Source organism: Homo sapiens, chromosome 8, assembly GCF_000001405.40.
Source record: "Homo sapiens chromosome 8, GRCh38.p14 Primary Assembly".
Classification (NCBI taxonomy): Eukaryota; Metazoa; Chordata; class Mammalia; order Primates; family Hominidae; genus Homo; species Homo sapiens.
In genome coordinates, this window is record NC_000008.11 from 90,671,999 (window position 1) to 90,686,610 (window position 14,612).

Sequence of the window (14,612 nt, forward strand, 5' to 3'; positions counted from 1 at the left end):
CGAGAGTACAGAAGACTGTGTCTTGTTTACTGCTGGATTCCTTGGGCCCAACACCTGGCCTAACATATATTAGATATTCAATAGCCATTCACTGGATAAATGAATGAAACACTCAGCAATCCCTTTTTGCAGACAAATCAGTAATCTCTTTTTGTCACTTTGCTCATTTGATTACCTCCAGGTTTTCATTCAAAGACCATTAGAGGTCTAATGTGTATGCTAACTATTGTAGTTGCTGCAGCTATTCATGATCAGTTATGTTTATGCTTCAGTAATTCTTATATTTCATTAGAAAGAGAAGGAAAAATAAATTGTTACATTACTATTTCAGAAATTAATTTTAGAAGATATCTGAAACTCAACTCCAAAGTACATACCTCTAACTTTTTGATATTATAAAATGGTGCATACATCTCTATCTGCAATATATAATACATCTATATAATTCTGGACAGTATAATACAGTTTTTACTGCATGAAAATTTATCAATAAAGTTACATATAAGTAAAATTTTAAACTATAGGCCAAATTTATTTTTGTATTTACACATGGTCACAAATAACCCTTGGTGCACAATGGTATTTCTATTCTAGATAATCCCCACAGTTCCACTTATGTAAAGTACCTTACAAAAAGTTCTTTTCAGTATTTAATCTAGACATAGATATCAAAAATGATTCTTCATTTTTTGAATTACTGAATTTTCAACAGATTATACCTTATGTTTAATCAAAAAAGATGAATAGGACTGGAAAAGTCAATTATAAAAGCAGTTGCTGCTTGCTAGTCTTACACAAATTTTTATATTTCTTTAAAGTGGAAATTTGAGACAGCAGAAGATAGTGATAAATTCTTACATATGATGCGTGTGCTTTTTTTTAAAAAAACAAATTTATGTATCATTTTTATGTTAGATGCCTTTTAATTTACATTGTCAAATTATAAGGCCCTCAGTATTAAAAGGAATCCAGAAAGATGTTCGTTCTGAGAAAAAAAAATGGTAATTTAAATACCGTATTGCTATTTAATCCAGGAAAGTTCAACTTTGCTCAATTCATAAACATTTAAACATAATTTATTTCCATAATAGGAACAGCTATGCAGAGGAGGAATGACAAGTAGAAGAGGGGAAAAGGGAAAATATAAACAAAAAAAACAGTACATTTCACACAAAAGCAGAGGAACAGAAAGTGAAATCTGAGACGTGAGTAAAGTACTCTTGTTACACCATGTTAACCACTTAGGCTGTAAGATTCAGCATGTGACACAATTTTCTGAGGCTTTTGAAGTAGTAATACTAATTAGACGATTAAGTATAGTACTATTAACCTTGACCCTGGAAGCTCCAGGAGCTTTCATTAATTATTTATTCATGGAGCTCAGACTATACTACTCTGGAGGTACAGAGATGACTATTTGCCTTCAAGGGATATACAGCCAATTAGAGAAGACAGACAAGTAATCAGAGGATGCTAATATAGTTTAATATGTACTATAATACTGGAAATGCTATTTTGTGGCAAAACATGCTAAGAAAAGAGTCCAAAAACTCTTTTTCAGGATTTCATGTGTTGGATGTTAAAATGCCATTTTACAGCTATTTTTTTAAAACTGGCATTAGTTGCACTTAAAATAAGCATTTCATAGCAATAATATTCAATATTATTTTATAGTTCCCTATATAATAAATGAATACTATTTTAGTCACATATTATTTCAAGTCAGTGTGCAACTTTTTCCCACAGTTAATATGGGACCAGCTTATTTCATAATTGATATATCAGAGCAAATTCAGCAGAGTGGGAAGGAATGAATTTGACATTCAATTCCTTGCTTCAGAATATAGTAAAATGATAGCTCCTTTGAAGTTGCCCCCAACTTTTTCTGAGTTTGGGGTTCTGTGAATATATTTGGTTCTGGAAGAGTTACAACAGTGTTGCTGGAGGGTACTATAGCACTAAATACCATTTTGATACCTTTGTTTATATGGGTGATCATAGTGATAGCTTTTGATATAAAATCAGGTAAAGCTCTGGATACTTCAAAGGAATCACTCCACCATTTAAATTAGTATTTCCACTGAACAAGGATCTGTGCAAAGGCTACTCCAAGTAGTGTCATGTGGAGGATGCAATAAACAGAGGTGCTATTGCCTAATTTGTTTCAGTAAGTATACATTAGGATTAACCACTCAAAAACACTAATCACAGTTTGGGCAAACATCCTCTCCCTCCTCTGAAGAAGTCTAAGACTGAACTTAAAGGTAATTCTACCAGAACTCTGAAGACAGTGTTGTGTAAAATATTCCCAGTGAAAATAAATTAGTGGAGAAAAAAATCTTAAAGAGAGGGCAAACTGTATGCAGCAGAAATTAGCAAGAGCAGAGATACATTAGAAGGAACGGAGCTACAGCAGGAAGGGTTGGTGAAGAGATTAGCCTGAGACCAAAAGAAACTGAAAGGTGAAGAACTGGGGATTTTAGAAATGCATTGATAGCCAATTTGGCTTGATTTCAGTCACATATTTGATTTCTTCATTCTTACTCTTAGGAGTATGCCTAAGAACATGCTGCACTGTCTCTACTCCTTCACCCACACCATCTCAAGCGAGGTGGAACCAATGATATATGTAGTAAATTTGATTAGAGTAAAAGTATCCTTGGCTGAGCTTCAGCCATCGTTCCTTTCAGGAGCATCATTTCTTGTGGAGAGCATATGTTCTCCTTCTCCTCCAAGGACAAGCTCTTTCTCCCATATAAGAAGACTCGTTTGGGTCCAATGCTGCCTTGAACTTGGTTAAATCTGCTGTATTCTGAGATTTGACATTATCAAATTCCTGTGGCTAACAGACATAAAGCTATATTCTCCAATCTGGCCTCTATTATTAATAAAAATGTTACGTTAGTTTCTGTCTGTTATTCTTTTGTTTCTCAATGAGATCAGTATTGGGTGGGAGAAAGGACTGTTATCTCATGTGCCAATTAATCATTTACTCATCAAGTATAGCATGCATTATGTGAGTGTGGCAGACTGCTAGTGGGCCCCCCAAATCTGCCCTTCCATTCTTAATCAGACATGGATATCCAGCTAGAGACCATATTTCCCATTCTCTTTGCACAAAATGTGACCATAGAGCTAAATATCACCATGGAAAGTGATCAGAAGCAATGAGTGCAACTTCTACCTCACTTGCTTCAAAGGAAGTTACTTTCTCTTGTCTTCCTGTGGACTAGACCTTAGGAAAAGCTTCAAGCTAATTTGACTATTCAGAGGAGGACTGAGTCCCAGGGGTTAATAGAGCAGCATTGTGGAGGGAATCTGAGTTGCTGGATGTCCTTGGAGAGTAGACTTGGCCCACTATGCTACCTTGCCCTATTACATAAAAGTGAAATAAACATTTGTCTCATTTCCATTGTGTATTTGGGGATCTTTCTTAAAGAAGCTTAGCGTTTACCCTAATACCCAGGATCAAGTTGATTTGGCCTTAAATAATCACTGTTATAAGATGCAGAGAGGTAGATTGAATTTATCATACGAATGTCTTTAGCTACAAATTAGCCCTATGGGGTATAGCTACTATACTTCTTAGAGAAATGAGTGGCATGATTTTAATATAAATAATATGACAACTATTAGTATATTATTAATACATCCCAAGAATGGTATGTGAGACAAGAAGCTCCCTGGTTGTGCTTATATCTGTAAGAAAGGTAACTTAAGTAAACATAGGCTTGCTCTAATTCTGTTTACTTGAACCAGTTAATTTTCAGTTACATTAAGAAAGTTTAATTGATAAAATCCCTTAGGGCTTTCAGGCAGAGAGGACAGCAAGCATAAAGGTTCCTAAGCCAGGAATGAACTTGGCATGTGTGAGAGTCAAAAAGAGCAGTGTACCTGGTACATGATGGATAAAGAAGAGTTGTAAAGAATGAATTTAGGCAGATTGGCAGGGGCCAGATCAGACAAGTCCTTGAAAATCAGGATAAGAAATTTGGATTTTATTCTAGGCATGATGGGAAGCCATTAGAAAACTTTAAGCAGCTAGATGGCATTAGTAGGTCTCTTTTTAAAAAAAAACACCCTATCGAAAATTGATACAAAAAAAGCAGGAAAACTGGTTAGGGGATAGTGTAGTAACTTAGGCAACAGAGGACGGTGACTTGGGTAATGGTTCATCCCTTTGGGAACACTAAACAATAATATATCAAAGATTTTATTTCATCTGGCACTCATTAGGCAGAACATTCCTTCACTCCCAAGCGCCAGAACTGCTCCTGGCTGCTCCCAACATGCCTTTGTTGTTGAAGAGTGAATGTCTTGGCTCAGCTCAGCAACCCCAAACAGAGGCCTGGATTGCAGCTGCTTGCTTATGTGAATACGGTCCACAAAATGGATGTCTAGATTGCAGTTAATCAAATCAAACACCAGATAACACTTTTTGTTTGGTGCTTCCAAAGCAAGTTGCTGCCAAGTCCAGTCATCATTCTAAACCATTTTTAAAAGAGGCTTCTGCAGCTGCCTGGCTCTGGTGAGGCTTCTAATGGTAAGGCTATAGACAGATCACAGATGGGAGAGCTTCTGATATTATTTGATCCAATGTGCTGAAAAAAAGAAAATAACAAAATTGGCAAGTGATAGGTATAGAAATGAGGTACCAGGAAATTGGAGCAGATGATGACCTAAAGAGCATACTAAAATAGACAGTAGATGCTTGTGTTTTCCTTGAAAAGCTAGTCTGTCCGGAAAGGTGAGACATATCAAAGTTGGGACTTTCAGGTCATAGGTGGATTCAAACTTTTTCTGATTAACAATTGATTGAGTTTATCTAAGACCTGGAATCATTAGAAGGGAGTGCCTGGGTTAAATAAGGGGTTGTGGAGACTAAGGTTTTTATTATGCAGATGAAGCCTCCAGGTAGCAGGCTTCAGAGAGAATAAATTGTAAATATTTCTTATCAGACTTAATAAGGTACTAGATTTTTAGTTCTCTCCTGGACAGAAAAAAGACCTGGAGAGGGAAGGGGATTCTCTACAGAATATAGATTTTTTTCCACAACAGACAGCTTTGCAGGACCATTTCAAAATATGTCAAAGAAATACATTTTGTGGTAAAATACTTTGATTTCTTTCAGGGCCTGCTGTCTGTCATACTGGTATTTTATTGTTACAAATAGCCTGTTATGTCAGTCTTCAGGTCTCTGTTGCAATGTTAATGCTGGTCAGCTGTGCCTGAATTCCAAAGAAAGGAAGATATAATGAAGCATGTGTGACCACCTATACCCATTGTGGCCTGAACTAGAGTTTCAGGTTTACTTTCGAATGTCCTTGACTGAGAGGAGAGATCCATTCAATTTGTTGCAGGGCTTAGAATTTTATTTTTGCTTTACAAAGATACAGAGATTTCCCATATACCCCCTACCCTTAAACGTGCATAGCCTGTCCATTATCAACATCCCACACCAGACTGGCACATTTGTTACCATCAGTGAACCTACACTGACAGATCATCATAACCCAAACTTCACAGTCTAGGTTAGGGTTCACTCTTGGGTTTGCACAAATGTATAATATCATGTATCTATCACTGTAATATCATTTCCACTGCCCTAAAAATCCTCTGTGCTCTGCCTGTTCCTCTATCCCTTCCCTCAGCATCTGGCAACTACTGATCTTTTTTCTGTCTTCACAGTTTTGTGGGAAGCATACCATAGCCTTTTCAGATTGGCTTCTTTCACTTAGTGACATGCGTTTAAGTTTCCTTCATGTCTTTTCATGAGTTGATAACTCATTTCTTTTTAGTGCTGAGTAATATTCCATTGTCTGAATGTACCACAGTTTATTTATTCATTCCCTTACTGAAGAACATAGTGCTAGGTTATACGGTAAGAGTAATTGACATGTAATTTTGAGGGTCATTTTTTCGGATGGCTAGTACATAGCCTGCTGCAGTATACTACAACAAATTATCAAAAAATGAATAGTATCTATATCCACTAAGGGTACATCAAGAAGGCATATTCATGCATAACAAGAGGAGAAAGTTAGGATAGATATAAAGCATGTCTTGCCTATGGAAATTGTCAGAGACTAGAATGTCAGGGAAAGATATGGGATCTCCTCCATGAAAAACAAAGGGTAGAGAGAAGAACAGGCAGTTACCTCCTGGGTTTTATTCTGAAGTTTTGAATCATCTATATGAGATTGATTCTAAATGTCTTCCTCACCTGTACAGTTTGAGTGATGGGCCAGGTTTTCTTCTATCTGAATAACCACTGTGAGATGGCAGTAGGGGCTCCATGTGGCAAGGTGGCCCAATAGAGAGAAGGCAAAGTGTAGGGGAAGGAAAGTAGCTTTATATTGAAGGAAAGGCAAGAATGAAAAATGTCTTGGCCAACCTCAAAATGGACACTCAATTAAAGTGTATTTCAGCATTTGTCTTTTATAAATAATATGTTTAAATAAGCACAGCACTTTGGAGAGGCTATCAACTAAAGCGTACTTACTTTACCTAGTCAGAGCTGGCTCCAAGAACAGCTTATCTCCTTTATCTGAGTTTGTTGTTATTAACACAGTTGAGGAGTTGGGCAATTATTGCTTATTTTATTTGTTTTATGCAGAAGCTCTTCTTTTGCTTGACTCATCTCATTAACTTAATTATCTACTAGTTAAGTATCACTCAGATGGAAACATGTTTATGTTGAGTATTCTTAAATGGATAATGTAGTGTGTCAGGAGATGGGTTTGGTAAAAGTAGAAAAAAATAAAAGTTGAGGCTCAGCCTTTCATGAGAATGCAAAGAATCACATTTTTTTCCCTCCAGTTTCTGATTTTGTTAAAAAGGAGGAAAGAGGTTTCAGTCAAATTTAAATCAAATTTAGAAGAACTCTGTTTAGACACAGTATATTAGTCCATTCTCACACTGTTATAAAGTGTAGCAGTACGAGCCGCAGACAAGAACCCCTCAGACACCGAGTTGTGGAAGGAAAGGGCTTTATTCAGCTGGGAGCATCAGCGGACTCATGTCTCCAAAAACTGAGCTCCCTGGGTGAGCAATTCCTGTCCCTTTTAAGGGCTTACAGCTCTAAGGCAGTCTGCACGAGAGGGTCGTGATCCATTGAGCAAGCAGTGGGTACATGACTGGGGGCTGCATGCACCTGTAATCAGAATGGAACAGAACAGGACAAGGATTTTCACAGTGCTTTTCCATACAATGTCTGGAATCTATAGATAACATAACCGGTTAGGTCAGGGGTCGATCTTTAACTACGAGGCCTGGAATGCAGCATGGGGCTGTTTGACTGCTGATTTCATTTCTGTCTTTTCTTTAACTCCTACTTTTTCTCTGAGGCAGAAATTGGGAATAAGACAATACGAGGGGTGGTCTCCTCCCTTAAAAGAACTGCTCGAGTGCTTTATATGACTCATAGTTCTGCAGGCTATACAGGAAGCATGGCTGGGAGGCCTCAGGAAACTTACAATCATAGTGAGGCAGGAAAATAGGGTCTAGATGCAGGGAACATAAGGCTGATTCACACTTCAGCTATGATAGGAAATATCCTCTCTACAGGATGTAGGCCAAGTAAATGACTTTGTAACTTTACTTCATCCTCCTCATTTACATAGGGTGTACCCCAGGTAACCAATAGAATCCTCTGGAGGGTATTTAAACTCCCAAAAAATCAGTAATGGAGCCCTTAAGCCCCTATGCTTGGGCCCGCTCCCACACTGTGGAGTGTACTTTCATTTTCAATAAATCCCTTCCTTCCTTGCTTGCTTTGTTTGTGCGTTTTGTCGAACTTTTTCCTTTCCGCCCCATAGTTTACTGTCTAATGGCAAAGTGGAATGTGTTGCATGTATCCAGGCTTTTGTACTGTGGTTCTAGAAGGGGGCCTGGTTAATGTGTGATGATGTCCTTTGGTGCTGTTTGGTCCCAGTGCTCTTTGGAGTCTGGGGAGGCTTGGCCTTTAAAAATCAAACGGCCGTGGCGACTGCTTTGCCCAAAATTTTGGTTCACAGCCTTCACTGGGTTATCTATTGGGGCAAAGTAAAACCAGCAAGCCTGTATTGCTATCTCATGGCTAAGGTTCCAAGCTATTGGATCTTTGTTTATATGTGTGTATATATGTCTAGATGTGTTTATTTGTATGTACCTTATTGTTATATGTTGTGTCTACCAAAATTGGCTTATAAATAAAAGAGTGCTCATAAGTAAATAATTCTAAGCAATTTTCAAGCTCACGTGACTTAAAGTATAACTTTACTAAACAAGCTAGCTTTAAAATTATTGGTGGAATAAAAATAGAAATCCCTTCAGAATTGCCAGCATACATTTTGTCTAAATTTTATGTTTGTCTTTGCTAGATATTTTAAAATGTCAGTGTTAATTCAAGCTGGGAGCTGCTTGGGGTGAGCCTGCCTCCCATTCTATTTAAAGTCTCACTGAGATAAATGCATATCTGATTGCTTCCTTTGGAAAGGCTAATCAGAAACTCAAAAGAATGCAACCATTTGTCTCCCACCTACCTGTGATCTGAAAGCTCCCAAACCCCCTCCCCGCTTCGAGTTGTCCCACCTTTCCGGATCAAACCAATGTTCATTTTACATGTGTTGATTGACGTCTCAGGTCTCCCTTGTTAAAAGTAAAAAATTGGGTACAGTGAATTGGATAAATGTTTTACGTAAACTTTTGTGTAAGTTAAAATCTTTTAAGTTATTTTTGATGCTCATTTAATATGTAGGTCATTTCCAATTAAGAAGGGGTTATGATACGGGGAACTATGTTTCTAAAATTGTGGAGTTGTTCTTATCCATAAATGCCCATATCTAACAGTTCAGGATTTCTTGCTTTTTAGGGTTACACTAAAGTTTTAGGTTGCTGAGGATAAAATTCTAGTTAACACATAATTCTGTATACAAAATGTGCCAGAAAGGATTGTTATTAGTGGAAAAAAAAATTTTGTCTAATTCAGAAGTTATTTAAAAGTTATTTATGAAAAGGTTATTTATGAAACAATGTAGTAAGGAATCATTAAGTAAGAGAGAAAAATGTGGAAAAGTTTAAATAATATTCTTTAAAACCTGATAGAGAATTGGAGACATTTGGCTAATTTACATTTTCATAAAGCTCTTAGTCTTGATTAAAGTAAAGTTAGAAGCTTTGTAAATAAATGCATCAGCAGTTTGGCAATTCTTTTTTTTTTTTTTAATATAGTTAAGCATGAAGCAGGATTTAGTGTGAAGCCAAATTTCACATACATGCTTGCATTGCTTCACACTATGTTTACTGTTTTGCATGGATAATGCTGGCACTGGAGTACTTATTGTTCATGTGCCTAAAGTGGATTTCTTGATTGCACAGAACATATAATAATATTGGTGAACTTAAAGATATTAAATTATGTGTCAGGAATAAAATATTCATTATGTGGGTTTTCTGGGGCCCTAGGTAACACTGTAGCCTCCAGGTAAAATTAAGTAGGAAAATTTAGGGTTGGTTTCTTGTTTGTTTTTACTTCTAGTTTTCACTCATTTGCTTTTTATTCTCCTCTGGCTTTGGTTGTATATGCATTTACGTATAACCATGATGTTTTTTAGGTCCTAGTGGAAGACTTTTATTTGGTTCTGTGAATACTTATTTTGTTTCCTATGCATTTCTAGCAAGTCATCATTCATTCCTTTTATCTGGAATTCCTAGGCTACCTTTTTCAGGCCTGCAGAAATTGATAGAGCACACCAGCCTTTTTGTTGTTGTTGTTGAGACAAAGTCTCACTCTGTCCCCCAGGCTGGACTGCAGTGGTGTGATCTCAGCTCACTGCAAACTCCATCTCAGGGTTCAAGCAATTCTCCTGCCTCAGCCTCCTGAGAAGCTGGGATTACAGGCACCCACCATCAAACCCGGCTAACTTTTGTATTTTTAGTAGAGATGGGGTTTCACCACGTTGGTCAGGCTGGCCTCAAACTCCTCACCTCAAGTGATCCACCCACCTCGGCTTCCCAAATTGCTGGGATTATAGGCGTGAGCCACTGCGCCTGGCCTGTACCAGCCTTTTAACCTTTAACTAACTTTTTGGGTTTTAGGCTTCTTGATACTTTAAGCCTATTAAGTATACTCTCATAAATAGAATTTGAGTCATATTTCTCTCTCTGCCTAATTTCTCCAAAACTTGTAAACCCTTCCTAAATATTCTTAATTCATGGCAATGTGTTTGTTTGCATACAATCAAGCAGGGTCACTAGGGCCCCGCGGAGAGGGAGAACCCAGAAACCTAGCATGCTGGCAAAAGGGTAAGAATTTCTTATCAGTCAGTCTCTGGCCTCTTTCTGTGCAAACTGGTTAAATATAAAGTAAAAGTCACTGTTTATTACCTCTGTAAAGTTTTAAACTAATTGGTTTAATAATAAGAAAAACAAAAATCAAATATTTTGTCAGAAAAGTGAAAAACATAATGACTTTTATTTAGTTCATGTGACTTGAGTAATCTTTGGGAAATGAAGACAGTTTTAAAGATTACTGGTAAAATACAAATGTCTTCAAAATGTAAACATGTGGTCTAAATTATGTTCAAATATTAGGTTTGCTAAATGCTTTAAGGACATAAGCTGCTTCTTTGGCTTTTGAAAATTGTTTAACTTGCCTGCTTTCCATCTAGGTAAGGCCTGGGGACACGTGGAGCTGGCAACACCCCCAGCTATGCTGGAAATAGTCAAACCTCTCAGAACATAACTTACCAGGTTTTATGTTAGAATTTACCATTATAACATGCAATTTAGACTACTAGAAACAGTTTTACATGCAAGGTGTGTAAGAAGAGTAGAACGTAGAGTTTTTTTGTAAAACGTTATAAAAGGTTTTCACTTCTTTAAAATTTCTTAGTCATTATTTTGGCAAAATAAATAATTTATGGTAATCTGGAATTCCAAAATCAAACTTCAGTTTTAAAATTGTCTTTCCTGGCCAGACATGGTGGCTCACACCCGTAATCCCAGCACTTTGGGAGGCTGAGACAGGTGGGTCACCTGAAAATCACCTGAAGTCAGCAGTTCACGACCAGCCTGGCCAACATGGTGAAACCCCATCTCTACTAAAAATTCAAAAAATTAGCCGGGAGTAGTGGCAGGCGCCTGCAATCCCAGCTACTTGGGAAGCTGAGGCAGGAGAATTGTTTGAACCCGGGAGGTGGAGGTTGCAGTAAGCTGAGATCGTGCCATTGCACTCCAGCCTGGGCGACAAGAGCAAAACTCTGTCTTAAAATAAAAAAAAATTGTCTTTCCTAATGCCTGGCTTTGTGGATGGATCAGAGGGCCCCTGAAAACATACAAAAAGGAAGTAAACAAGGTTATTTGACATTTTTAGGTACATGGGATTGCCAAAATGATGTTCAGTCTTCTTTAGGTTATGTTTTTTTTTTGTGAATAATACTAATATATGTTCCAAAATTACATGGGATTTCTAAAATTCTAATGTCTAAGTATATGCTATGTATTATAATTATGGTTATTATGTTAAGTTATTGTAAACCACAGCAATAACCAAATTTCCTTGTCAGTGCTATGCACCTAATTTGGAAAAACAAATTAGGTGTATCCAAGAGGATATAAGTCTAATGTTAATTAAGCATGGACTCATGGAGAACCAGGATGGCCTCCTTGTCCTTCCTGAGTCCTTAGAGCTTTAATTCTTAAAAGTTCTGCATCCCATGACTCATCATGGAAAAGATAAAATAATCCAAATTGAATACATTGGTGTGGTGACTTACAAATTACTAACATAGTTTATAACCAATGTTTGATCCCATATTCCTGGAAAAAACCATTAAAGCTTCAGGTACATTTGGTCACCTGGTTGGCCAATTAAACATTTTATAAAGGGATTTCATTCAATTGTTATTTTCAATGCATGTTTTCTGGTTGTATATGTGGGGAAAAGCAAGAGAGATCAGATTGTTACTGTGTCTGTGTAGAAAGAAGTAGACATAGGAGACTCCATTTTGTTATGTACTAAGAAAAATTCTTCTGCCTTGAGATTCTGTGACCTGTGGGGAAAAGCAAGAGAGATCAGATTGTTACTGTGTCTGTGTAGAAAGAGGTAGACATAGGAGACTCCATTTTGTTATGTACTAAGAAAAATTCTTCTGCCTTGAGATTCTGTTAATCTATAACCTTACCCCCAACCCCGTGCTCTCTGAAACATGTGCTGTGTCAACTCAGAGTTAAATGGATTAAGGGCAGTGCAAGATGTGCTTTGTTAAACAGATGCTTGAAGGCAGCATGCTCGTTAAGAGTCATCACCACTCCCTAATCTCAAGTACCCAGGGACACAAAAACTGTGGAAGGCCGCAGGGACCTCTGCCTAGGAAAGCCAGGTATTGTCCAAGGTTTCTCCCCATGTGATAGTCTGAAATATGGCCTCGTGGGAAGGGAAAGACCTGACCGTCCCCCAGCCCGACACCCGTAAAGGGTCTGTGCTGAGGAGGATTAGTAAAAGAGGAAGGAATGCCTCTTGCAGTTGAGACAAGAGGAAGGCATCTGTCTCCTGCCTGTCCCTGGGCAATGGAATGTCTCGGTATAAAACCCGATTGTATGCTCCATCCACTGAGATAGGGAAAAACCGCCTTAGGGCTGGAGGTGGGACCTGCGGGCAGCAATACTGCTTTGTAAAGCATTGAGATGTTTATGTGTATGCATATCTAAAAGCACAGCACTTAATCCTTTACATTGTCTATGATGCAAAGACCTTTGTTCACGTGTTTGTCTGCTGACCCTCTCCCCACAATTGTCTTGTGACCCTGACACATCCCCCTCTTCGAGAAACACCCACAAATGATGAATAAATACTAAGGGAACTCAGAGGCTGGCGGGATCCTCCATATGCTGAACGCTGGTTCCCCGGGTCCCCTTATTTCTTTCTCTATACTTTGTCTCTGTGTCTTTTTCTTCTCCAAATCTCTCGTCCCACCTTACGAGAAACACCCACAGGTGTGTAGGGGCAACCCACCCCTACAGTGACCTTACCCCCAACCCCGTGCTCTCTGAAACATGTGCTGTGTCAACTCAGAGTTGAATGGATTAAGGGCGGTGCAAGATGTGCTTTGTTAAACAGATGCTTGAAGGCAGCATGCTCGTTAAGAGTCATCACCACTCCCTAATCTCAAGTACCCAGGGACACAAAAACTGCGGAAGGCCGCAGGGACCTCTGCCTAGGAAAGCCAGGTATTGTCCAAGGTTTCTCCCCATGTGATAGTCTGAAATATGGCCTCGTGGGAAGGGAAAGACCTGACCGTCCCCCAGCCCGACACCCGTAAAGGGTCTGTGCTGAGGAGGATTAGTAAAAGAGGAAGGAATGCCTCTTGCAGTTGAGACAAGAGGAAGGCATCTGTCTCCTGCCTGTCCCTGGGCAATGGAATGTCTCGGTATAAAACCCGATTGTATGCTCCATCCACTGAGATAGGGAAAAACCGCCTTAGGGCTGGAGGTGGGACCTGCGGGCAGCAATACTGCTTTGTAAAGCATTGAGATGTTTATGTGTATGCATATCTAAAAGCACAGCACTTAATCCTTTACATTGTCTATGATGCAAAGACCTTTGTTCACGTGTTTGTCTGCTGACCCTCTCCCCACAATTGTCTTGTGACCCTGACACATCCCCCTCTTTGAGAAACACCCACAAATGATGAATAAATACTAAGGGAACTCAGAGGCTGGCGGGATCCTCCATATGCTGAACGCTGGTTCCCCGGGTCCCCTTTTTTCTTTCTCTATACTTTGTCTCTGTGTCTTTTTCTTTCCTAAATCTCTCGTTCCACCTTATGAGAAACACCCACAGGTGTGGAGGGGCAACCCACCCCTACAGTATAAAAGCTTTCCTATGCAAGAGGGCTGATGTTATAACAGTAGATTATTATGCTACAGTGTATTTTCACCAGGTAAAGAAAGCTTTTTATGGTTTGGATCTTCTGGAAACATCAAAGAAAAACTGTCCTTGCCATCCACATTACAACAAAACTTAGGGAGCTTGAGCTTTGAGTTCATAATCTCATAACTGAGAAAGGTACCTTCATGCTCTCAAAACTGTACACCCATTGGAACCCTTAAGGTAAAACTAACCAGGGAAATTTCTCCCAAGAAGAAAATGGCATCCTTGATGTGAACAGCTTTTCCCAAGTTCACAGATTAAGACTTCTACTGTCATGAAACTCTTATCTTTGAATATTTTCTCTTGCTTATGCCTCTATGAACAATAGAAGAGAAAAGGGAGTCTGTTATGTGCACTTATGGGGTGTACTTTGATTTGTAAAGGAGTTTGCAGCCAGCCTTATATATGGATAAACTTATACTTTGATAAATAAAAGATGAAGTCCCAATGTAGGTAGGAAACTTTAATGGTACATAGGTTGCCTCATAATCAGTCAAAAACAAAACATTAGTTCACTCCTCTTGACCCACAGCAGGGGTTAAGGAGAGCATTGCCAGGAGGCTTTTGCTCTTCTAGAAGGGCATCATTTGTTAGGTCCTTTTTCCATGTTTTAAAGTAAAAGAAGTAATGATTCCCTCATGATAGGCTCTATAGCAAATTCTACTGTAAAGTCTACAGTTACACAACAGACTTCAAATTC

At 38.5% G+C, this 14,612-nt stretch overlaps 2 annotated features.

Moving 5' to 3' along the window:
- Positions 11,607-12,594: an enhancer, noted in NCBI's record as "OCT4-NANOG-H3K27ac-H3K4me1 hESC enhancer chr8:91695833-91696820 (GRCh37/hg19 assembly coordinates)". NCBI's record gives its function as "activates a minimal SCP1, AML or CMV promoter by ChIP-STARR-seq in primed H9 embryonic stem cells {active_cell/tissue: H9 hESC(primed)}" and the evidence as "EXISTENCE:reporter gene assay evidence [ECO:0000049][PMID:30033119]".
- Positions 12,595-13,582: an enhancer, noted in NCBI's record as "OCT4-NANOG-H3K27ac-H3K4me1 hESC enhancer chr8:91696821-91697808 (GRCh37/hg19 assembly coordinates)". NCBI's record gives its function as "activates a minimal SCP1, AML or CMV promoter by ChIP-STARR-seq in naive and primed H9 embryonic stem cells {active_cell/tissue: H9 hESC(naive and primed)}" and the evidence as "EXISTENCE:reporter gene assay evidence [ECO:0000049][PMID:30033119]".